Source organism: Homo sapiens, chromosome X (genome assembly GCF_000001405.40).
Source record: "Homo sapiens chromosome X, GRCh38.p14 Primary Assembly".
Taxonomy (NCBI): Eukaryota; Metazoa; Chordata; class Mammalia; order Primates; family Hominidae; genus Homo; species Homo sapiens.
The window spans coordinates 101,391,011-101,414,410 of NC_000023.11; the positions used below are offsets into that span (position 1 = coordinate 101,391,011).

The window sequence follows — 23,400 nt, forward strand, 5'->3', positions numbered from 1 at the left end:
CTTTCTTTCCGCGCCGATAGCGCTCACGCAAGCATGGTAGGACTTGCTGGTGGGGGCCGAGTAACATCCAGCTTAATCTTTCCCCCCCTTCGTCGCCCGTGCTATGCCGGGATGGGTCCAGGCTCCTGTGTGGACTCGATATATCAGAGCAACCCAATCTTGCCGGGATCAACCCTAAAGGGACCGGGCTACGGGGCCAGGAATTGAAGTGATGGGTTCAAAGAGGTAGAGTTAGCCGGGGGTGGAGTTAATGAGGTCTCTTCCCTCTTTGGGGCTCGACGGAGGGAGGAAGCTCTGCTTGAAGCACATGGGGCTGGCCCACCCTGTAGTCAGAGGTAGCAAGTAATGAGGAGTCCTCCTGGAGTGCCTCAGCTTTAGCTGGGTAAGGTAGGGCGTTGTGCCATTGTGGTCAAATAACATTGCACGTTCTGAACTGTTTCTTTACTAGGTTAACGTCCCTAAAACCCGCCGGACTTTCTGTAAGAAGTGTGGCAAGCACCAACCCCATAAAGTGACACAGTACAAGAAGGGCAAGGATTCTCTGTACGCCCAGGGTAAGATGGATTCCGCATAATTTGGTGTTAATGTGACATTTGTGTTGTAGAATAACATACGAGTCCGGGTCTCTCTCCCTCCACGCCTGGCTTGAGCGTTAATATTTCTGCTGCGAAATTAAGATAAAACCTGTAAGACTTACTTGCTGATCTTCAGTATTTTATAACAAATACCAATTCGTTTTCCCAGGAAAGCGGCGTTATGACAGGAAGCAGAGTGGCTATGGTGGGCAAACTAAGCCGATTTTCCGGAAAAAGGTGAGTGGTAGTTACTATTTGACGTTTCCCAGTTAATTGCCGTAAGGATATGCACTTGTCTCTAGTCCACACACTTCATGATATAGGTATAGCGTTAGTTTAGCGAAGTTTTCACTGCACTGATATATCTAGTAGGTGATGGAGCTGGGAATGCAACTCATGTCTGACTAGTCCACAATACTGCACTATTTCAGTGTTTACGATTTTTTATCCTTTCCCTTCTGAAGAGGCAAAAAATTGAGGAATGTGCCCTGCTTTCCTAAGAACTGAAGTGTGAGTACACTGGTAAATCCTTTCATTTGCCTTGTTCCTTATCTGTCAATATGTCTGAATCCTCGCTTGTTGGTTGCACTAAGAATTGTTCTGTTGTTTCTCATCACAGAAATCTGCAGTCAACTACCTGTTCTCGTGAAGTCTTAAAACTCTTATAGAATAGCCATTTAGGCCTTTCTGCTAGCCTCCTGAATTCTGTATTCTCAGGCTGAGCGAGTTTCTGTTTACTCTCAAACCTTAGGTGATTTGGCTAACTCTTAAAGTAATTAGCACGATGATTGGAACGGAGCATTCTCTCCAACACAGCATTTCTTTTGGCACTTTGCTTCTTGTGCAGTTTAGCTCCAGAAAGTATTAAGGAATGACTTTAGTGCTCATTTGGATGCAGTAAGTGGTTTGATCTCAGGGTGGCAAAAAGAATGCTTTTTTTATACCTTTTCACATTCGGATAACTTGTTTAGAAGACAGAGGTTCTAACTAGGTTTTGGCCTATTAAGAACTGCAAACTAGCAGCAGCAGAACTCTGGCTAAAGGGGCAAGCTTATTAGGAAATTGAGTATTTAAAAGTTGAGCTACCATATGATCCAACAATCCCACTGCTGGGTATATACCCAGAAGAAAATCGGTATATCAAAGAGATATCTGCACTCCTATGTTTGTTGTAGCACTGTTTATAATAGCTAAGATTTAGAAGCAACCTTAGTGTCCATCGGGATGAATGGATAAAGAAAATGTACCTATACGCGGCCAGGCACGGTGGCTTGTGCCTAGCACTTTGGAAAGCCGAGGCGGGTGGATCACCTGAGGTCAGGAGTTCGAGACCAGCCTGGCCAAGATAGTGAAACCCCGTCTCTAGTAAAAATACAAAAATTAGCCGGGCTTGTGGTGTGGGCCTGTAATCTCAGCCACCCGGGAGGCTGAGGCAGGAGAATCGCTGGAACCTGGGAGGCAGAGGCTGCAGTGAGCCGAGATCACGCCACTGTACTCCAGCCTGGGCGACAGAGCAAGACTCCATCTCAAAAAAAAAAAAAAAAAAAAGGGAAAAAGAAAATGCACCTATACACAGTGGTACTATTCAGCCATAAAAAGAATGAGATCCAGTCATTTACAACAACATGGGTGGAACTGGAGATCGTTATGTTAAGTGAAATAGGCACACAAAGACAAGCATCACATGTTCTTGTTTGTGGGATCTAAAAATCAAAACAAGTGGACTTGTCATATAGAGAGTAGAAGGATGGTTACCAGAAGCTGAGAACTTCTGGTGGCGGGAGGTGGGGATGGTTAATGGGTACAAAAAGAAAAAAGAATGAATTAGACCAACTATTTGATAGCACGACAGCGTGACTAAAGTCAATAACTTAGTTACATATTTTAAAATAACTTAGAGTGTAATTGGATTGTTTGTACCTCAAAGAAAAAATGCAATAAAACTTTACAGTGGAGAAACCTAACAAGCACTACCTCAGCCAGGTAATCAAGGTTAACATCAACAGTCACGAGTCATGTTGATATATACCCTTGATAAGGTGTGATGAAAATGACACTTAAACCTAAAAATCCATAACCCTATCTAATGAGAAAAATAACAAATCCCAAGAGGGGCATTTTACAAAATACTTGACCAGTAGTGCGGAAATTGTCAAGGTCATCAAAAAAGTCTGAGAAATTGCCACAGCCAAAGGAGTCTAGAGACATGATGACTAAATGTTAGGTGGTGTCCTGCGTGGGGTCCTAGAACAGAAAAAGGACATTAGAAAAACATAAGGAAATAAAAAAAAAGTATGGACTTGAGTTAATAAGGCATCAGTGTTGGTTTGTTAATGAGTCATACTAATGTAAGATGAGAAACTGGTAAGGTTTATAAGAACTCTGTAGCATGTTTGCAATTTTTTGGTAAATAGAAAACTTGTAAACAATAGTTCTGTTGTTTAGGTAAAAGGAGCAATCAAGGCCGTGCGTGGTGGCTCGCGCCTGTAATCCCAGCACTTTGGGAGGCCAAGGCGGGTGTATCACCTGAGGTCAGGGGATCAAGACCAGCCTGTCCAACATGATGAAACCCCCATCTCTAGTAAAAATAAGAAAAAATTAGCTGGGCGTGGTGGTGGGCGCCTGTTATCCCAGCTACTCAGGAGGCTGAAGCAGGAGAATTGTTTGAACCCAGGAGAAGGAGCTGAGATCACGTCATTGCACTCCAGCCTGGGCAACAAGAGCAAAACTCCATCTCAAAAAAAAAAAAAAAGAACAATAAAAAAAGTTGAGGATTAGTGGGGAGTGTAGTTTGAGTTAAATAATTCAGTTGAATGGACATAAATTCTAGACATAATTGTAGGTAGTCTTAGAATTTATTGATCTTTTATAGAGATGGGGTTCTCACTATGTTGCCCAGGCTGGTCTCAAAATCCTGGGCTCAAGTGATCCTGCCTCAGCCTCACAAACTGTTGGGATTAAAGAACTATGCAGAGCTGCTGAATGGCCACAAGTTCAGGGTGGCAAGATGAGTTGCCCATTTGATAGGAAGCTCTAGGATGTTTGATCTGAATGGGGTTTGGATTCAAACTTGATGACAACTGGGTGACATGCCATCTTTGCTATTACCACATTTTCTCTTTATATATATATATTTATATATTATATATTATATATATTTTTATGTTTTTTATATATATTTATATATATAATATATATATATATATTTTTTTTTTTTTTTTGAGATGGAGTCTCTGTTTCCCTGGCTGGAGTGCAGTGGTGCGATCTCTGCTCACTGCAACTTCCGCCCACCTCCCGGGTTCAAGTGATTCTTCTGCCTCAGCCTCCTAAGCAGCTGGGATTATAGACACGTGCCACCATGCCCGGCTGATTTTTTTGTATTTTTAGTAGAGATGGGGTTTCACCATGTTGGTCAGGCTGGTCTTGAACTCCTGACCTCATGATCTGCCTGCCTCGGCCTCCCAAAGTGCTAGGATTACAGGCATGAGCCACTGTGCCCAGCCTTCTCTTTATTTTTTTTAGTCCACAAGTTCTACACATTTTCTCTTAAATTCACTGATTTTTAGATTATTTTCTCCCTATGGCTTAAGAGTATACTGAGTACTATTTAAAGCAAAGCATTGCAAAAGAATAGTTGCCCCACTATTCATTTGCAATGCTTTGCTTTAAATAGTACTTAAAGTAGTCATTTTTGAAGAAAGTGATCTTCTGTAGTTATTTATTAAGGCTTTAATTTAATTTTTTTTCAGGCTAAAACTACAAAGAAGATTGTGCTAAGGCTTGAGTGCGTTGAGCCCAACTGCAGATCTAAGAGAATGCTGGCTATTAAAAGATGCAAGCATTTTGAACTGGGAGGAGATAAGAAGAGAAAGGTATATAATTATGGGTGGAAGGTGCAATCTTTTTCATAGCTTTATTATTTGAAAAGGTGAACATCTATTCATTGTGGCATAGAGCTCAGGGGTAATCCTCTAAAAATATTAGATCTATAGCTAAAGATATGTGAGGTCTTTTGCTACAAGGAGGAAAGGAAGAATGAGGCAGCTTAACAGCATGGTGAGTATTTTAGGAACAGATAATGTTCTTAATGGGGCAGTAGTTCATGGCAAAATACAAAACAACTTTTTTCTGTTCTGTTACAGGGCCAAGTGATCCAGTTCTAAGTGTCATCTTTTATTATGAAGACAATAAAATCTTGAGTTTATGTTCACTTCATTTGTTTGCTGTTCATCTTTTGGGAGGGAATAAGCTAGAGCCATCAATACAATTCCGCTTGTGGGGAAATTTATGCCTCTTACTGGTACTACTTGTTTTGCATTGAAGCTGACTGGTTGAGTTCACATCATATGTTGCAATTTTCTAATTTGGCACTTCAATCACTAGGGGCCTTATGAGGCAGTTTGTCATTATGCAATGGTTATTGGTTATCATGTGAGTAGACACATTTCAGGCTAATAGGGAGAAGTCAGTAACACATTCATAGTGAATATGAGATGTCTTTGCTAAGAGTTAAGTGTCAGATCTTTGTTATAACAGTTAATTTAATAAAGAATTTTGGCATTGTTCTTCAGACACAGTACACTGTAACATATATAACATTGTCTGTGGACTTGGTCTTACACTCTTGAACATTTTGACATTCCCCCTCACATTTTAAAGTAGATATATTTATACCAAAATAACTACAAAGAATAGGTTTTCTAGTGTATGAAACCCCCCAGTGGAGTTTTTTTTTTTTTTTTGAGACAGGGTCTCCCTCTCGTAAGTGCCAGTGGTGTGGATCATAGCTTGCTACAGCTTTGAGCTTGCAGGCTCAAGTGGTCCACCTGCCTCAGCCTCCTGAGTAGCTGGGACTATAGGTGCCTGTTACCATACCTGGCTAATTTTAGTTTTTGTGTTGGGTGTCTCTCTTTGTTACTCAGCTAGTCTGGAACTCCTGGCCTTCAGTGAAACTCCTATCTCAGCATCCCAAGATGTTGGGATTACAGGTGTGAGCCACCAGGTCTGGCCAAACTCCCCGGTGGAAGAATCTTAAGAGACAAAATATCCATTCTTTAAAATGCCTCTTAACAGTTCCAAATTATACATCTTTTTTTTTTTCTTTTTTTGAGATGGAGTGTTGCTCGTTACCTAGGCTGGAGTGCAATTGGTACAACCTCAGCTCACTGCAGCCTCTGCCTCCCAGGTTCAAGTGATTGTCCTGCCTCAGCCTCTGGAGTAGCTGGGATTACAGGTGCCTGCCACCTGCCTGGCTAATTTTTGTATTTTTAGTAGAGAGGGGGTTTCACCATGTTGGCCAGGATGGTCTCCATCTCCTGACCTCGTGATCCGCCCGACTTGGCCTCCCAAAGTGTTGGGATTACAGGCGTGAGACACCGTGCCTGGCCTATACATCCTTCTTAATACATTTCAGTCTTAATGATGTTTAGCTCTTGGTAGTTAAATATGCTACACATTTTGATAATTGGGAGAGAATCTCAACAAGGGGGGTGGGTATCTGGATGAGTAAATATGGGTTTAATAGTTTTATTCCTAAAGTTTAAACTTCGGAAAATTTTATTCAAGGAAATAGAACTTTTTTTTTTGAGATGGAGTCTTGCTCTGTTGCCCAGGCTGGAATGCAGTGGCGTGATCTTGGGTCACTGCACCCCCCCACTTCCCGGGTTCAAGTGATTCTCCTGCCTCAGTCTCCTGAGTAGCTGGGGCTACAGAAGCTCGCCACCATACCTGGCTAATTTTTGTATTTTTAGTAGAGACAGGGCTTTACTATGTTAGCCAGGCTGGTCTTGAAATCCTAACCTCAAGTGATCTGCCTGCCTCAGCTTCCAAAAGTGCTGGGATTCCAGGCATGAGCCACTGTGCCTGGCTTTTTTTTTTTTTTTTGAGATGGAATCTTTGTTGCCCAGGCTGGAGTGAGGTGGCATGATCTCAGCTCAATGCAACCTCCACCTCCCGGGTTCAAGCGATTCTCATGCCTCAGCCCCCAGAGTAGCTGGGACCACAGGCGTGCGCCACCACACCTGGCTAATTTTTATATTTTTATTAGAAATGGGGTTTCACCATGTTGTCCAGGCGGGTCTCAAAGTCCCGACCTCAGGTGATCTGCCCGCCTCAGCCTCCCAAAGTGCTGGGATTACAGGCATGAGCCACCTAGCCTTGAGCTTTTAAAGTGAATGGAGAAAAAGGTGGACAGGAAGTAGTAGTTGGCAATAAAATAAACATTTTAAAGTAAGTCTTTTAATGACATCTGCATTGTATTTTCTAGCTGAAGCAAAACAGTGCCTGTGGGATTTATGTGACTTCTTAACCTTGAAGTCCATTCATAGAACCCTAGCTTCCTTTTCACAGGGAGGAGCTGTGTGATGAAGCAGGCAGGATTACAGGCCACTCCTTTACCCAGGGAAGCAACTGCGATGGTATAAGAGCGAGGTCCACCAATCTCCTGCCGGTTTATCATAGCTACAGCCCAGGCTAAGCCTGAGAGAGGTCGTTCCCACACTTCAAAGTTGTCTCCCTGAAAAACCAAGAAAGTGTGGTTGCTTAGCAACTAGTGATAAGTGGCCCTGTTAGTTTGGCATTCATTCTTAATGTCAGAACTATCAAGCACTTGTAGGAAAAATTAAAATGATCCTGTAGCATTATTTTGGAAATAAAGTAATGTTTCTAGCAAGAAGCTTTATTACTGATAGTAACATCAAGAGCAAGGGAAAAAAATAGATTTAGGCCCAAGACAAAGTTGGTATTGGGTATATAAAGCCATCTTAAAATATATACTCTTATTTACCTGTCTAAGCTGGTACCCTTGCTTGCCCAAGGGGTCCTGATTGATGGCAATTACGTCCTTATCCTGAAGGAGAGCTTTGGCTTGAGGGCTGATGTGTCGGAGGTCATTAGACATGAATAAAGGAGCAGCCATGATAGCCCAGAGGGCCATCTGAGTTACTTGCTGATTCCAGCTGAGGCCAAAGTTGCCAATCACTAACTGAGAAAAAGAATGAAATAATTCAAACAAGAGAGGAGGAAACATTCTTAAAGTTACCTAGATGACCCATATGGAGAAACCACTTTCCACAGCATCCTGCTCTAAGTACTCTCACATAAAGCCTCCTCCCAGGAACTTTACCTGTATTTACCTTGAATGTCAAAATAGGAAACAAGCCTACCGCAGGGTCTTGAACAAGGAGGGCTCAAGTTTTTACCATATCTGGGTCATTCCAACCCCCTGGTCCAGCAACATCAACAATTCTCTCCTGGTTAAAAGATGTCCAGTCCAAGATACTCTTTATACTTTTCCAGGAATCATCAATGTCAGCAAAATTTCGCCAGTGATTGCAGTACTGTCGGATTTCTGTATAATTGGGCTGTGAAAACAGATATGACTCTTCTGTTTACTTTCTACTAACATCCTTGTGAGATGAAAACAGTTTAAAGGAGGCACTTGTAGCCTTCTCTTGAGTTTACAGATTGAACGTCTCCATAAGGAGGTCTAAACCCTTATAATGAATTTTCACTGTAAGAAGTTTGCTTCAGAAGTAGGCCATATAACTTGAAATCCCTTAAAGTTAATTTACTTCTATAATCAGAACTAAAATGGTCTTAGTAAAATTAAAAGCTGCAAAATTACATAGGACTCCATCAAGTATTAAGAAAACTTAAATCCCAGGCATATAGTTTGTTAATGGAATAAAAAGTTTGTAGAGGCTGGGCACGGTGGCTCATGCCTGTAATCCCAGCACTTTGGGAGGCCGAGGCAGGTGGATCATCTGAGGTCAGGAGTTCGAGACAAGCCTGGCCAACATGGTGAAACCATCTCTACTAAAAATACAAAAATTAGCCAGATGTGGTAGCGCACGCCTATAATCCCAGCTACTGGGAGGCTGAGGCAAGAGAATCGCTTAAACCCGGGAGGCGGAGGTTGCAGTGAGCCGAGATGGCGCCACTGCACTCTAGCCTGGGTGACAGTGAGACTCTGTCGCAAAAAAAAAGTTTGTAGATAGGCAGGTGGGATATCAGGTTTAAGATGTTGAGAAAAAAGACTATTTTGCAGAGATAATGAGGGAATAATAGGGATTCATTCCATAAATAACTATTCAACACTTAACCATATGCGAGAGATACAGTCAAAGTCAGACAAGGTCCCTGCCCTCATGAAACTTACACTCTAGTGGGGAGACATGGTAACAAGTCAACAAATACTTCCAAATAGTGTGGAGCTCTGAGAAGAAAATTAAACAGGTTAATGTGATGAAGAATGAATGGACAGAGGGCTATTTTAAAGTAGTTAGAGAAGAACTGTCTGCATATGTGGCGTTTGGTCTGCGACTTCAATGTTAAGGAGCCCGGCCCTTTAAAAATCTTTGGGGAAGAACTGTTCTAGGCAGAAAAAAAGCAAGTGTAAAGGCCCTGGGGCAGCAATAGGCTTGCAGTGTTGAGGGACAGAAAGAAAACCAGTGTAGCCAGGGAAAGAGCCATGACCCCTTGGACTTTGGGGAGGCAGGCAAGGGCTGGATCAGTGCAGTTTGGTTTCATTCCAAGTGCAATTGGAAGCGAGTTAAGGGTTTTAAGCAGGGAACTGATGATGACATTTATATTTTTTATAACTCTGTTAAGTCTCAGGGTTTTTTTCTTTAAAAAAAAAACTGATATTTACATTTTAATATGATAACTCTAGTGCTGCTTGGAAAATAGATGGGGGTTGAGACAGAGTGGAAGCAGAGAGATCAGGTGGTCCCAGCAGTCTGGTTGAGAGCCGATAGTAGCTTGGAAGGCCAGGGTGCATGTAGTGAAGATGGAAGGAAGTGGGCTGATTCAGGAGATATTTTAGAGATACTGGTGGAAGGACTGTTGATAGACAGGACATGAATGGTGAAATAAAGGGGAAGACACAAGGATGACTTTCCAGGTGATGGTAGCTTAGGCTATAATTACAGCAGTGGGGATGGTGAGAAGTGGTTGGAACCTGGGAGAGATGGTAGGATGATAGTAAGTAACGTTGGACTTTGAAGGAGACCTTGGTTTCCTTTGTTGTCAAGTTCTATCTATCAGTACAGTTCTATTGGATTCTGGGCTCACTATCTCACCTTTTGAAAGGGCCACATATAAAGAGGCCACTCACAGGAGTACACAATGCTTCTGCCAGTCCTATTCAGGGCCAAGGACATGTGCTTATAACCTGTATGAGAAAACAATGGGTAAAATAAGGGAAAGAAATGAATTTCCAGCTGGGGCTATATATATAGTTATTTTATTTTATTTTATTTTAATTTTTTGAGATGGGGTTCAGTCTGTCATCCAGGGTGGAGTGCAGTGGTGCGATCTTGGCTCACTGCAACCTCTGTTTCCCAGGTTCAAGTGACTCTTCTGTCTCAGCTTCCCAAGTAGCTGGGATTACAGGCATGTGCCACCAAAGTCAGCTAATTTTTGTATTTTTACTAGAGATGGGGTTTCACCATGTTGGCCAGGGTGGTCTCGAACTCCTGACCTCAAGTAATCCACCCGCCTCAGCCTCCCAAAGTGCTAGGATTACAGGCATGAGCCATCATGCCCAGCTGGGGCTGTATATTTTAAGAAGAGGCTACCTGGAAGGTTCATGTTTAAACTAGCAGCAGGGACAGGCAGTTGCTCTGTGCTTAAATTGTGTAAAGTACCTCCCAGACTGCTGGGATTGTTCTGAGGAAGTAGTGCAGAGATGGTGTGTATATTGAGGAAAGGCAGGAATGAAGATGCTTCTTTCTCTGTGACCGATTGACAACCTGGACTCCCCTAAATGATGTTATAGAGAGTTACAATTACTAATTAACTCTTAGAGCCCTCTTGAATTATAAGTGCACAATATTAGCTATGGTTAGGTATGCATGGATTTTACATGAATTAATTAATTAATTAATGAACTGAAAGAGAAGAGATGGGAGCTCTGGCACATGGAGAATAATTATTTCCAGTATTGTGACAGGGTATTTAAAATTCTGAAGATTGGTTCTTTGGCTCAGCTACCATGGCCTCAAAGTTCTTTCCTTTGTGGCTAAATCTCTGGAATGAAACATTACCATCTGCCAAATTTTCCAAACTGTCACAGTAACAACCATCAAATTTTAGCAGATCTACTCCCCAGTCAGCAAAGGTCTGGGCATCAATGTCGTAGTATCCAAAACTCCCAGGGAAGCCTGCGCAGGTTTTATTTCCAACATCTGCATAAATCCCTAGCTTCAGTCCTTTGCTGTGAACCTGAAATGAGAGGGAGGAAAAGAGTCACCATTGTAGAAGCACAATCGTGAGGTAGCAGAAAGAGAGAACCATTCCAGGCTGGGGGAAGAGACAAGGTTACTTCACCAGGTATTGGGGGCTTTTCCCCACAAACCCCCAAAATCATCCAGATGAGTTTGTTGGAAGACAAAGAATAAATCCCCCAGTTCTGCTGAGCTAGTTCAAACTAGGCATGTGAGCTATAGCCCAGAACTGAGGAGAAAGCTAGCAGCCATGCTAATCTTCCTGATGGGATCCTGAAAATTACCTTTTGAGGGAAATGATAGATTTACCTTGACAAAGACTCTTCTTGACCAAACTTTAGTTAGACTTCTCTGATGAGCCTTCTTTTCGACTAGACCTCCACCTTGGCTTCCTATGTCTGTCCTAGCAAGACCTCTTAGCAAGAATCCTGCTAAGTCAATACTGCCACCATTGATATCTGATCAATTTCCCTCATCCCCCACCCTTCTTGTTTAAGTACATGAAGCTTTAGCAAGAAGCTCCCTACCCTTGATGTCTTCTTAAATATTCCATCCACTGACCCCCTCAATCTGCTCATTGGCTATAAATCTCCACCTGTCTTTGTTGTATTTGGAATTGAACTTGGCTCTTTCCTCTACTGTGGTAGTACTGAATAAAATCTGTCTTCATCGGCCGGGCGTGGTGGCTCATGCCTGTAATCCCAGCACTTTGGGAGGCCAAGGTGGGCGGATTACAAGGTCAGGAGTTCGAGACCAGCCTGGCGAATATGGTGAAACCTTGTCTCTACTAAAAATACAAAAATTAGCCGGGCGTGGTGGTGTGCGCCTGTAGTCCCAGCTACTTGGGAGGCTGAGGCAGGAGAATCACTTGAACCCAAGAGGTGGAGGGTTGCAGTGAGCTGAGATTGTGCCACTGCACTCCAGCCTGGGCGACAGAGCGAGACTCCGTCAAAAAAAAAAATCTGTCTTCATCATCTTTAACTAGTGTTGGACTCCATTTCTCTTCAATGATCTCCAGAATATTTTCCTTCTATCTTCTAAAATTCTAGTTTATAGTACCATTGCAATAGCTTCCTAAAGGTTATATGGAAATACATGCACACATATGTCAAGAACCAAGTTCCTTTTTCCTCCTAGAGAGTTCAGTGGTTTTAGCAAAAGGAGAACTCCAAGATGGGCCTCAAGAGCTATTACAAAACATTTGTAGGCTAGGCGCGGTGGCTCATGCCTGTAATCCCAGCACTTTGGGAGGCCGAGGTGGGCGGATCACGAGGTCAGGAGATCGAGACCATCTTGGCTAACATGGTGAAACCCCGTCTCTACTAAAAATACAAAAAATTAACTGGGCATGGTGGCGGGTGCCTGTGGTCCCAGCTACTTGGGAGGCTGAGGCAGGAGAATGGCATGAACCCAGGAGGTGGAGCTTGCAGTGAGCCGAGATCGCACCACTGCCCTCCAGCCTGGGAGACAGAATGAGACTCCATCTCAAAAAAAAAAAAAAAAAAAAATTGTCTGCTGATGGAATGCAAAGTCCACCTGATAAGCCTTACAATTCAATGTTCAGATAACAGCCAGCTATTCTACTTTCTAAGTGTCATGAGGGCTGTTTCTTTTTTTCCTTGTTTTTTTTTTTGAGATGGAGTTTCTCTTTTGTTGCCCAGGCTAGAGTGCAATGGCGTGATCTCAGCTCACTGAAACTTCCACCTCCTGGGTTCAAGCGATTCTCCTGCCTCAGCCTCCCAAGTAGCTGGGGTTACAGGCGTTCACCACCATGCCCAGCTAATTTTTTGTACTTTTAATAGAGTTGGGGTTTCACCATGTTGGCCAGGCTGGTCTTGAACTCTTGACCTCAGGTGATCCACCCGCCTCGGCCTCCCAAAGTGTTGGGATTACAGGCGTGAGCCACCACGCCCGGCCATGAGGGCTGTTTCTAAACAAGCTTCTGTACAGAAGTGCTTACAGTCCTCTGAATGAACAAGAACATTATCTATAAACTCACATAATTAGCTAGCTGGCGAATCCCATGAGGAAAGCGCTGAGGGTCTGCCTGAAGTCTGCCTTCTGAATCTCTTTGGGGAGCCATCCAACAGTCATCAATGCAGAGGTACTCATAACCTGCATCCTTCCAGCCTTCTGAGACCATGAGCTCTGCCATCTCCATGAAGAGCTTCTCACTGAAAGAGAAATTCCAATAATCATTACAATTCATTAAATGAACACTTAGGTACCTCCCATTTATTAGGCACCTTGGGATTTCACAATTTTTTCCAACCCAGTAATAGTGTGGTAGTAATCACAAGCAATGTAAGGTAAAATGAATTGTTTTTCCAGATTTTCTTTTGTCTCTCTTATCCCGTTAATATTCCCGCCCTAAAAACCCCAAACAAAATAGGAATGAGAAATATATGATGAAATTGAAAAGAGTATTAGATCTAAGAAGACAGTTCAGTAAAGTCAGAAACTACAAAGTTAACATAATCAACAGATATCAACAATAATCCTATTTGGAGAAAAAGATCCCATTCACAAGAACAACTGAACAACCTAAAATGCCTAGAGATAAATTTAAGATACGTGCAAGGCCCATATGTTAAAACTATGATGCTCCTAAATGATTTGAATAAATGGAGAAATATTATTTTGCTCTTGGATAAGCATACTCAATATTAAAAATAAGTTAATTTTCCCTGCAATCCTTTGTATATTTAACAAAATCCTTAACAAAGCCCAAGAGTACTTAGGTTTCCTTTTTATCTTTTTTTTTTTTTTTTTTTTTGAGATGGAGTCTCCCTCTGTCACCCAGGCTGGAGTGCAGTGGCGCCATCTTGGCTCACTGCAACCTCTGCCTCCCCGGTTCAAGCGATTCTTCTACCTCAGCCTCCCGAGTAGCTGAGATTACAGGCATGTGCCATCGCATCCGGCTAATTTTTGTATCTTTAGTAGAGACAGGGTTTTGCATTTTGGCTAGGCTAGTCTTGAACTCCTGGCCTCAAGTGATCCACCTGCCTCAGACTCCCAAAATGCTGGGATTACAGGCGTGGGCCACCTGCCCAGCTTCCAAAAGGGCTTTTTAAGGAACTTGGCACAACATTACAAAAAGTTCACCTAAAAGATTACATACATGTACATTCATTAAAAGATGAAGGCTGGGCGTGGTGGCTCACGCCTGTAATAACAGCATTTTGGGAGGCCGAGGCAGGCAGATCACCTGAGGCTGGGAGTTTGAGACCAGCCTGACCAACATGGAGAAACCCCATCTCTACTAAAAATACAAAATAGCTAGGCGTGGTGGCGCATGCCTGTAATTCCAGCTACTCGCGAGGATGAGGCAGGAGAATTGCTTGAACCTGGGAGGCGGAGGTTGCGGTGAACCGAGATCGTGACATTGTACTCCAGCCTGGGCAACAAGAGCGAAACTCCAGCTCAAAAAAAAAAAAAAAAAGAAAAAAAAGATAAAGGAAGCTAGTGTGGAACTATTAGCATTAGAATAAGAATACACAGATTAATGGAATTAAACAAAGTTTCGAAAGAGGTCCTTCCAGCCATCTGATACCATGGGACTTATTATTTATTAAATGTGGCATTTCTGATAGAAGAACAAAGTTCAGATGGACTAAAGATTTAAATATTTTAAAAATCCACAAAAATACTAGTAAGAAACGTATATACTGTATTATCTTCAGGTAGGAAAGGACTTTCTCAGCATGACCCCAAAGTCAGAAATCAGAAAGGAAAAACTGATGTGTTTGATTACATAAATATCAAAACCAACACATAGGAAGAACCACTGTATTTGCAAGGTATGATAGACTAAAAAAGAAAAAAGAGGCCGGGTGCGGTGGCTCACACCTGTAATCCCAGCACTCTGGGAGGCCAAGGCGGGCAGATCACTTGAGGCCAGGAGTTCGAGACCAGCTTGGGCAACATGGTGAAACCCGTCTCTACTGAAAATACAAAAATTAGCTGGCCGTGGTGGTGTGCCTGTAATCCCAGCTACTCAGGAGACTACGACAGGAGAACTGCTTAAACCCGGGAGGTGGAGTTTGCACTGAGCAGAGATCGCGCCACTGCACTCCAACCTGGGTGACAGAGTGAGACCCCCTCTCAAAAAAAAAAGTAAGGCTGGGCACGGTGGCTCACACCAGCACTTTGGGAGGCTGAGGCGGGCGAATCACGAGGTCAGGAGATTGAGACCACCCTGGCTAACATGGTGAAACCCCGTCTGTACTAAAAAAAAAAAAAAAAAAAAAAAGAGCCAGGCGTGGTGGCAGGCGCCTGTAGTCCCAGCTACTCGGGAGGCTGAGGCAGAAGAATGGCGTGAACCCAGGAGGCGGAGCTTGCAGTGAGCCGAGATCGTGCCACTGCACTCCAGCCTGGGCGACAGAGCGAGACCCCGTCTCAAAAAAAAAAAAAAAAAAAAAGTGTAATTTACCCAATGTCACAGGGCTAAGTAACAATGAGGCAGAATTTGAGCCCAGACTGGGTGCCAGGGTCTTGCCATTAGCCAAACATGACATAAACATGATCCATTTTTTATGGAAAATAATGAAATAAAGAAATCTATGTTTTCATTTATATAGAAAACAATTGTAAGGTTGTATATTAACATTTAAACCATGATTATTTCTGGGTGGTGGAACGGTGGGGGGAAATCTTTATTTTCATTTTGCTCTTCTTTATCTACATTTTTTGCAATGATCATGCATTAGTTTTATAATCAGATGCAAATACCAATAAAAAAAAATCCGTGATGGGCAAAATTGCCACACATACTGTACCACAGGGTCACATGAAACTTACAAGGCCAATTTCTTCTGTGATGTCTGACCAACATCCTGACTTTATCTATAAAGATATTCATAGGAATAACTTATGGACACAGAAATGTACTGTGACTGCCACCTTTTACCAACATCTATCAGTGATTCCTAACCTTTTTTAAATCACAGAGCCCTTTGAGAATTTGAAGAAAGGTAAATATCCTCTCTCCAGAAAAATACACATATTCATTCAGATTTGTAGATTTACATTCATTTTCCCATTGAACATTTGCTCTGTAAGCGCAGTTGAATGGTCAAGCGCTGTGCTATGTACTTTAAATAGGTTATCTCCTTGAAAACTCACCTGTGTGAGATAAGAACTATTTTTCAGATTTTTTTTGTCAGCTCCCTGAAATTAAAAGGTTGTAATCCCAATTTACAGATAAGGATTGTGAGGGTCAGATATGTTCAATACCTATCTAATCCAGCCTCAACCCTCACGCAAAGGTGTAAATGTATAAAGTTCCTCCATGTCAACCTTCCAGCCTGATGCCACGCTCATGGGCGAGGTGGGAGAGATCTCAGCGACCTTATGGTCTCTCTAACTCCCTCGAGATACTGCCGAGAAATCCACGACCCCAAAAGGAGAAAAAATGGCACGAATCTTAGTTCCCCATTCCTCCTACCCACCCTAGATGTTCTAACGGTTAGCACCCGGCAGAGGAAGAGCAGAAGTTCACAAGAAGGGTCTGAATAGAACCGGGCAGGGCTACTTTGGGCACACTGCCTATGGGGTGGCCCTGCTCTGCAAGGAGCAGTGAAAAAAGAGAACCGGGCAGGGAGAGAGAGAAAGAGAGAGGAAAGAAGAGAAAGAGAAAGAGAAGGAGAACGAGAGAGAGAGAGAGAGAGAAAGAAACAGGGGCCGCTGGCCGGACTCCCATCCCAGGAAAGGTCACACAGAGAAAGTTTAGGGCTAGTCCTGATTCGGGACAGTTTGCTGGGGATAAAAAAGCAGCAGCAGAGTCGGGTGGGGGAGCTCTCCCTCGGGCTCAACTGTTCCCGTTGAGACTCTCCAGTTCCCCAAACACACCCAAACACATGGAAAAGCAAAGGGAAGGGAGTACCCAATATCTGATACCTGATGCAGGAATCTGGCTCTTCCTGGCAGTCAAGGTTGCACATGAAGCGCTCCCAGTGCAGCCAGCCCATGGTAGGCGTCCTTGCCAATCCATTGTCCAGTGCTCTAGCCCCAGGGATGTCCCAGGAAACGAGGGCCAGGAAGCGAAGCGCAAGCGCGCAGCCCAGATGTAGTTCTGGGTTCCTCAGCTGCATTGTCACGGTGACCGGACAGCATAAATTTCCGCGGGTAACCTGGGCTTTTAAGATTAACCTCAGGGGCGGACCAATCACCGATGACTTATTAAATAATGACGTTATTGTTTCTCTGGCAACTGGGACGGTTATCCCCAGAGGTAGACCAATAATCAGTCACGTAAGACGTTCCGCTAACCAATCACCCTCTTCCTTTCTTGATATTGACCCGCCCTATTTCCATACCAGAAGGAAGTGCGGCACCTTAGTGATCCCGAGTTTAAGCCGAGAGTTGCTCACGTGACCGAGATCTCACATGACGTAGGCGCTCACGTGATTACTCGCTTACGTGAGCAGAAGTAGTTCTGGTCGTCGTCTACCGTCTCGCTATAGCCGTTTGAGGGAAGAAGGAGGAAAATTACCCGGTATCGTTAGAGGTTGGTGTGTGGGTGGGAACTGGGGACCCAGGGGTGGTGATGATGAAGACCAGAGCGGGGTTCGGGGGCCGCCTCCGCCTCTTTCGTTCTCTGCTTTCCCCTCCCCCCTCGCGCTCTCTCCCTCCTCCCCCCCATCTCAGTGCCGGGAAGCCGCCTGTGCTGCGCCTGGTGGGGAAATGGTGGACGCTCATGACTGTGTATGTGTTTTTGTATATCTGTCTGTCTGGGCCGGTCTCGGGGGACCCCTAAGGGTGACCGTAAGGCGAAAAACGTTTGAAAACCACGGCCCTGAGTTAAGAAAAACAGATACTGAAAATAGTGGTCTGAGTGCTGGTCTATCCATTCAGGCACTCAGTCTCCACTGCCTGATTGTCTGTAAGGGGAGGCCCCAAGTGAATTTTATCTGTAGAGTCACATCTAGGCAAATGCGTGCTTGACAAAGGCGCCCAATAAATTACTTTACTGAATAGAGTATTTGAATAATGTTTATTTTTCTGCTGATAACAACAATCTACATATTCAATTTCGAACATTTGAAAAATAACAATATAGTATAAAATTTAAAAATACACATAATTCACCACCCGGAGACGACTGCTCAACCTGATGTCGTTACAGTTTTTTAAAAAATGTGTATAACACACATATAAATACACAAATTCTTAACTCACAAAGAGTCCTGGTTCCCACTTTAGCCAGCAGTCCTGATGGCCTTCCCAGGAGACGCAGTAATGAAGTAGAACCTCTCTGCCCCTACAGAAGGGCTCTTAAGGAATAGAGCGGTGCAGGGAATTAAATGGGACGGGTTATCCCAGGGATAAGGCAAGCAAAAAAAAAAAAAAAAATCCTGCAAAATGAAATAAAAAAACAGCTTGTAAATCTGTCACTGAGACCTTAGGATGGTTAATAGGAAAACTGTTATCACTGCAGATGCAGTGTGCTAGGCACATAATCGGCAATCAGTAAATGTTTGTTAAATCGTTTCCTCAGTGTAGTTTTATGGCCGTTATTACACTTTGTACTTTGTTTCCAAGAGGCCCAGTGCTCCCAGACCATTTCAGATAAACCATCCACATACAAAATTAGAAAATTTTATAAAATTTCCTATACCAAATCCCAGAAATGCAAACATTTTAATTTGTTTTATGTTACTTTTTTTGCTGAAGTAAAAGTAATTATTTCTGTAGAAATTTAAGGCTGCATAAAAAAATTGGAAAAATAACATGGAAAATCCATAAACCTCCCACTCAGAGTAACCACTAATATGTTCTTTCTAACTTAAAAAGAAAAAATCCCAGTACAGCAAATGTAAAGAATTAAAACTGTATAGAAGTATATAGGGTAAAAAGCGAAAAGCCCACTTCACCCCCCCACCCTTCAGTTCTCTCAAAAACAAGTTTGCTTCCAGATCTTTTATTTATTTACATACGTATATACATGCATGCCAATCTTTTACTATAAGTAGGATCATACTATGTATATTCTTTTATTTAATGTATTTTGGAGATCTTTCTGGGTCAAGGCAGATAGATTTTTTTTAAATGGCTGCATTGCATTCCAGTTTAAGGATAAAGTATAATTCATTCAGCCATTCCTCTAATGATGGCTATTTAGGTTTCCAATTTTCTGCCATTACTAACAGTGCTGCAAGGAACATTTGTAAGTATTTCTGTTGACTAGATTCCTGGAAGGATTCTAGCAGTGTCAAAGGGTATGGGAACATGTATTTTGTACACAGTTGATATTGTAAAGCAGTTGTGCTCTTGGGTCACTTACAATTATAGCATAAGTAATTTCTCATGTTATTAAATATTTTTGTAACTTTTAAAATTAAATGCATAATATTCGTTTTCTTAATAAAGTACTTTTCAAAGAATATATAGCTCCATAAATCTGTCTGAATTTCAGATCATCTCCTTAGGGCACATAACTGAAATGTATTTGCTGTCAAAAGGCGTGATACATATTATCAAATTGCTTTCAGGATATAGTGGGGTTTATCAAAAAGGAAATAGTTTATATCAATTATCACTCTTCTGGTAGTGTATTAGTTTGTGAACTGCATAGCACTGATTTACTGTTGCTGTTTAATTTCCATTATCTTGATGGGTGAAAAATAACGATTAGTTCTGATTTTAACTTGCTGGAAGATTGATTAAATTTGAACATTTCCCAGATTCCTCTCCTGTATCCTCCTATACCTGTATTCTCTCATACTTAATCTGTTATCAAGTCCCGCAGATTCCACTTTTTTTGGTATGTGTAGATACATCTTTTCTCCATTTTACTCCTGTTGCCTTAGGCGATTCCTTTAACATATATTTATGAGACAAGTTCTAACTAATCTCCCTAGTTCCACGTCGACCCCCTTCTGTTTGAGTGCCACGCTGTTGCCAGGGTGATCTGTCTGAAAGAGTTTTGGTGAAGTCACCCTACATACTCCCCGGTTTAAAAGTCTTAAAAGGCGCTTAGTGTTTGTATATCAAAGTCTTTGGGATCTGATCTATGCCTTGCCAGTCTTTTCACTTGCTTTTCCCTCTCCTATTTGTGCTTCATCATAATTAAGAAAAAAAAATGTTTATGGATCCCTGGGCAGATTAGTCTGTTTCATTTAACCATTTGGCCTCCAACCAATAGAACTGATCAACTAGTCCCTCTTTGATACTATGCTTACACTCCACTCAGAGGGTCATGGCAAGTATAATGTATATTTGCATTTACATCTTTAATAATGACATTCGGTGCTCCTGTAGGACCATAAGCCCATTCTGGGCTTATTGATTCTTGTATGCCAGAGCCGAATATTGGACATGGCAACTAAAAAATGTTTCTAAAATGAATGTGTGAATTCCCAATAATGTCTTTTTTTCATTTATCTCTGGAGCCCAAATATTTCCCTGATTTTATTGATTTGCATACATTTTTATATAATGAAGATATTATATAAAGAACTTACATAACCTGTGTTTTGTTTGTGTTTTAATTGTTGTTTAATCTTTTGATCTAGTGAAGTTTTTTATGTTTATATATTCAGATATAGCCATCTTTTATTTGTTGACATCTCCCACTGATTTGTTGCTGTTAATTTTTTTTTTTTTTTTTTTTTTTTTTTTGAGACGGAGTTTTGCTCTGGTCGCTGAGGCTGGAGTGCAGTGGCGTGATCTTGGCTCACCTCCACCTCCTGGGTACATAAAAGCGATTTTCCTGCCTCAGCCTCCCGAGTAGCTGGGATTACAGGCACCTGCCACCACGCCCAGCCAATTTTTTGTATTTTTAGTAGAGACGGGGTTTCACCATGTTGACCAGGCTGGTCTCGAACTGCTGACCTCAGGTGATACACCCACCTCAGCCTCCCAAAGTGCTGGGATTACAGGCGTGAGCCACCGCACCCGGCCGATTGCTGTTAATTTTTAATGGTATCTAACACGTAATAGGCATTGAATAAATAACTGCTAAAAAATGAATGAGTTAAAAATTTGGTGAACTCTCTGTTTATACAGACGTCTTACAGAAAAGCTGTCAGCATAATTGAATTTTCTATTAATAGTTTGCTTTTTTCTCTTACTATATCACGAGCATTTTTCCATGACAGTAGTCTTCTTTTTTTTTTTTTCAGCTACACCAAAATTGCATTGAGCCAAACTTGCCACCAAGAGCCCAACAATCACCATGATGCTGAGCACGGAAGGCAGGGAGGGGTTCGTGGTGAAGGTCAGGGGCCTACCCTGGTCCTGCTCAGCCGATGAAGTGATGCGCTTCTTCTCTGATTGCAAGATCCAAAATGGCACATCAGGTATTCGTTTCATCTACACCAGAGAAGGCAGACCAAGTGGTGAAGCATTTGTTGAACTTGAATCTGAAGAGGAAGTGAAATTGGCTTTGAAGAAGGACAGAGAAACCATGGGACACAGATACGTTGAAGTATTCAAGTCTAACAGTGTTGAAATGGATTGGGTGTTGAAGCATACAGGTCCGAATAGCCCTGATACTGCCAACGATGGCTTCGTCCGGCTTAGAGGACTCCCATTTGGCTGTAGCAAGGAAGAGATTGTTCAGTTCTTTTCAGGGTTGGAAATTGTGCCAAATGGGATGACACTGCCAGTGGACTTTCAGGGGCGAAGCACAGGGGAAGCCTTTGTGCAGTTTGCTTCACAGGAGATAGCTGAGAAGGCCTTAAAGAAACACAAGGAAAGAATAGGGCACAGGTACATTGAGATCTTCAAGAGTAGCCGAGCTGAAGTTCGAACCCACTATGATCCCCCTCGAAAGCTCATGGCTATGCAGCGGCCAGGTCCCTATGATAGGCCGGGGGCTGGCAGAGGGTATAATAGCATTGGCAGAGGAGCTGGGTTTGAAAGGATGAGGCGTGGTGCCTATGGTGGAGGGTATGGAGGCTATGATGACTATGGTGGCTATAATGATGGATATGGCTTTGGGTCTGATAGATTTGGAAGAGACCTCAATTACTGTTTTTCAGGAATGTCTGATCATAGATACGGAGATGGTGGGTCCAGTTTCCAGAGCACCACAGGGCACTGTGTACACATGAGGGGGTTACCTTACAGAGCCACTGAGAATGATATTTATAATTTCTTCTCACCTCTTAATCCCATGAGAGTACATATTGAAATTGGACCCGATGGCAGAGTTACCGGTGAGGCAGATGTTGAATTTGCTACTCATGAAGATGCTGTGGCAGCTATGGCAAAAGACAAAGCTAATATGCAACACAGATATGTGGAGCTCTTCTTAAATTCTACTGCAGGAACAAGTGGGGGTGCTTACGATCACAGCTATGTAGAACTTTTTTTGAATTCTACAGCAGGGGCAAGTGGTGGCGCTTATGGTAGCCAAATGATGGGAGGGATGGGCTTATCCAACCAGTCTAGTTATGGAGGTCCTGCTAGCCAGCAGCTGAGTGGTGGTTATGGAGGTGGTTATGGTGGTCAGAGCAGTATGAGTGGATATGACCAAGTTCTGCAGGAAAACTCCAGTGACTATCAGTCAAACCTTGCTTAGGTAGAGAAGGAGCACTAAATAGCTACTCCAGATATAAAAGCTGTACATTTGTGGGAGTTGAATAGAATGGGAGGGATGTTTAGTATATCCAGTATGATTGGTAAATGGGAAATATAATTGATTCTGATCACTCTTGGTCAGCTTCTCTTTCTTTATCTTTCTTTCTCCTTTTTTAAGAAAACGAGTTAAGTTTAACAGTTTTGCATTACAGGCTTGTGATTCATGCTTACTGTAAAGTGGAAGTTGAGATTATTTTAAAACTTCAAGCTCAGTAATTTTGAACACTGAAACATTCATCTAGGACATAATAACAAAGTTCAGTATTGACCATAACTGTTAAAACAATTTTTAGCTTTCCTCAAGTTAGTTATGTTGTAGGAGTGTACCTAAGCAGTAAGCGTATTTAGGTTAATGCAGTTTCACTTATGTTAAATGTTGCTCTTATACCACAAATACATTGAAAACTTCGGATGCATGTTGAGAAACATGCCTTTCTGTAAAACTCAAATATAGGAGCTGTGTCTACGATTCAAAGTGAAAACATTTGGCATGTTTGTTAATTCTAGCTTTTTGGTTTAATATCCTGTAAGGCACGTGAGTGTACACTTTTTTTTTTTTTAAGGATACGGGACAATTTTAAGATGTAATACCAATACTTTAGAAGTTTGGTCGTGTCGTTTGTATGAAAATCTGAGGCTTTGGTTTAAATCTTTCCTTGTATTGTGATTTCCATTTAGATGTATTGTACTAAGTGAAACTTGTTAAATAAATCTTCCTTTTAAAAACTGGAAAAAATCTTGAACTGATTGATTTTTATTATGTTCTGTCATATGGGCACACTGATTGACTTTACAATTCCCTCAAAGTTAAGATTTTTAATTTTAAAATTATAAATGATATTTAGCATCTTTATATGTTCATTGTTGCATATATCATTAATTATTTCTAAGATATATCCCTAGAAATGGGATTGCTGAGTCAAAGATATACTCATTTTTAAGGCTTCTGATTTGTGTTACCAGAAAGATTCTGGTACTTTATCTTTCTACTTGGAGTGTGTGTTTTATTTTCC

General features: G+C 42.1%; 4 protein-coding genes across 13 annotated transcripts; 3 read left to right on the top strand and 1 right to left on the bottom strand.

Moving 5' to 3' along the window:
• Positions 1-5,145, top strand: RPL36A (ribosomal protein L36a). The gene is made up of 5 exons (NM_021029.6): positions 1-36; positions 449-554; positions 745-812; positions 4,325-4,447; positions 4,718-5,145. The coding sequence occupies exons 1-5, from the start codon at positions 34-36 to the stop codon at positions 4,736-4,738; spliced, it is 321 nt and encodes a 106-aa protein (NP_066357.3). The 5' UTR covers positions 1-33; the 3' UTR covers positions 4,739-5,145.
• RPL36A-HNRNPH2 (RPL36A-HNRNPH2 readthrough) lies at positions 1-23,123 on the top strand. Of its 2 annotated transcripts, NM_001199973.2 has the most exons (5): positions 1-36; positions 449-554; positions 745-812; positions 4,325-4,447; positions 20,926-23,123. In NM_001199973.2, the coding sequence occupies exons 1-5, from the start codon at positions 34-36 to the stop codon at positions 20,980-20,982; spliced, it is 357 nt and encodes a 118-aa protein (NP_001186902.2). In that variant the 5' UTR covers positions 1-33; the 3' UTR covers positions 20,983-23,123. The 2 variants fall into 2 exon arrangements, with proteins under 2 accessions (NP_001186902.2, NP_001186903.2); NM_001199974.2 differs by lacking the exon at positions 4,325-4,447.
• GLA (galactosidase alpha) lies at positions 6,793-16,915 on the bottom strand. Of its 8 annotated transcripts, none has more exons than NR_164783.1 (8): positions 16,700-16,915; positions 12,801-12,975; positions 10,622-10,799; positions 9,656-9,747; positions 8,734-8,790; positions 7,775-7,936; positions 7,360-7,557; positions 6,793-7,089 (listed from the first exon to the last, which is right to left on the bottom strand). NR_164783.1 is itself a non-coding variant. In NM_001406747.1 (8 exons), exons 1-8 carry the CDS (start codon positions 16,891-16,893, stop codon positions 6,799-6,801), a joined length of 1,413 nt encoding a protein of 470 aa, NP_001393676.1. In that variant the 5' UTR covers positions 16,894-16,915; the 3' UTR covers positions 6,793-6,798. The 8 variants fall into 8 exon arrangements, 5 of the variants coding, with proteins under 5 accessions (NP_001393676.1, NP_000160.1, XP_047297946.1 ...); NR_176253.1 differs by lacking the exon at positions 8,734-8,790 and adding an exon at positions 10,223-10,337; NM_001406747.1 differs by lacking the exon at positions 8,734-8,790 and adding an exon at positions 14,101-14,223.
• Positions 17,212-23,123, top strand: HNRNPH2 (heterogeneous nuclear ribonucleoprotein H2). Of its 2 annotated transcripts, none has more exons than NM_019597.5 (2): positions 17,212-17,309; positions 20,926-23,123. In NM_019597.5, the coding sequence occupies exon 2, from the start codon at positions 20,979-20,981 to the stop codon at positions 22,326-22,328; it is 1,350 nt and encodes a 449-aa protein (NP_062543.1). In that variant the 5' UTR covers positions 17,212-17,309; positions 20,926-20,978; the 3' UTR covers positions 22,329-23,123. The 2 variants fall into 2 exon arrangements, with proteins under 2 accessions (NP_062543.1, NP_001027565.1); NM_001032393.3 differs by having other exon boundaries at positions 17,212-17,297.

Excerpts from the sequence above, each read along its gene's own strand:
- RPL36A (NM_021029.6), top strand. Across the intron at positions 555-744 it reads GGATTCTCTGTACGCCCAGG|GAAAGCGGCGTTATGACAGG; the intron begins GTAAGATGGATT and ends TCGTTTTCCCAG. Across the intron at positions 4,448-4,717 it reads GAGGAGATAAGAAGAGAAAG|GGCCAAGTGATCCAGTTCTA; the intron begins GTATATAATTAT and ends GTTCTGTTACAG.
- RPL36A-HNRNPH2 (NM_001199973.2), top strand. Across the intron at positions 813-4,324 it reads AGCCGATTTTCCGGAAAAAG|GCTAAAACTACAAAGAAGAT; the intron begins GTGAGTGGTAGT and ends ATTTTTTTTCAG. Across the intron at positions 4,448-20,925 it reads GAGGAGATAAGAAGAGAAAG|CTACACCAAAATTGCATTGA; the intron begins GTATATAATTAT and ends TTTTTTTTTCAG.
- GLA (NM_001406747.1), bottom strand. The coding sequence starts at position 16,893 with ATGCAGCTGAGGAACCCAGAACTACATCTGGGCTGCGCGCTTGCGCTT. Across the intron at positions 7,937-9,655 it reads ATATGTGGCCCTTTCAAAAG|CCCAATTATACAGAAATCCG; the intron begins GTGAGATAGTGA and ends CTGTTTTCACAG. Across the intron at positions 7,558-7,774 it reads GTTGGAATGACCCAGATATG|TTAGTGATTGGCAACTTTGG; the intron begins GTAAAAACTTGA and ends TCTTTTTCTCAG.
- HNRNPH2 (NM_019597.5), top strand. The coding sequence starts at position 20,979 with ATGATGCTGAGCACGGAAGGCAGGGAGGGGTTCGTGGTGAAGGTCAGG.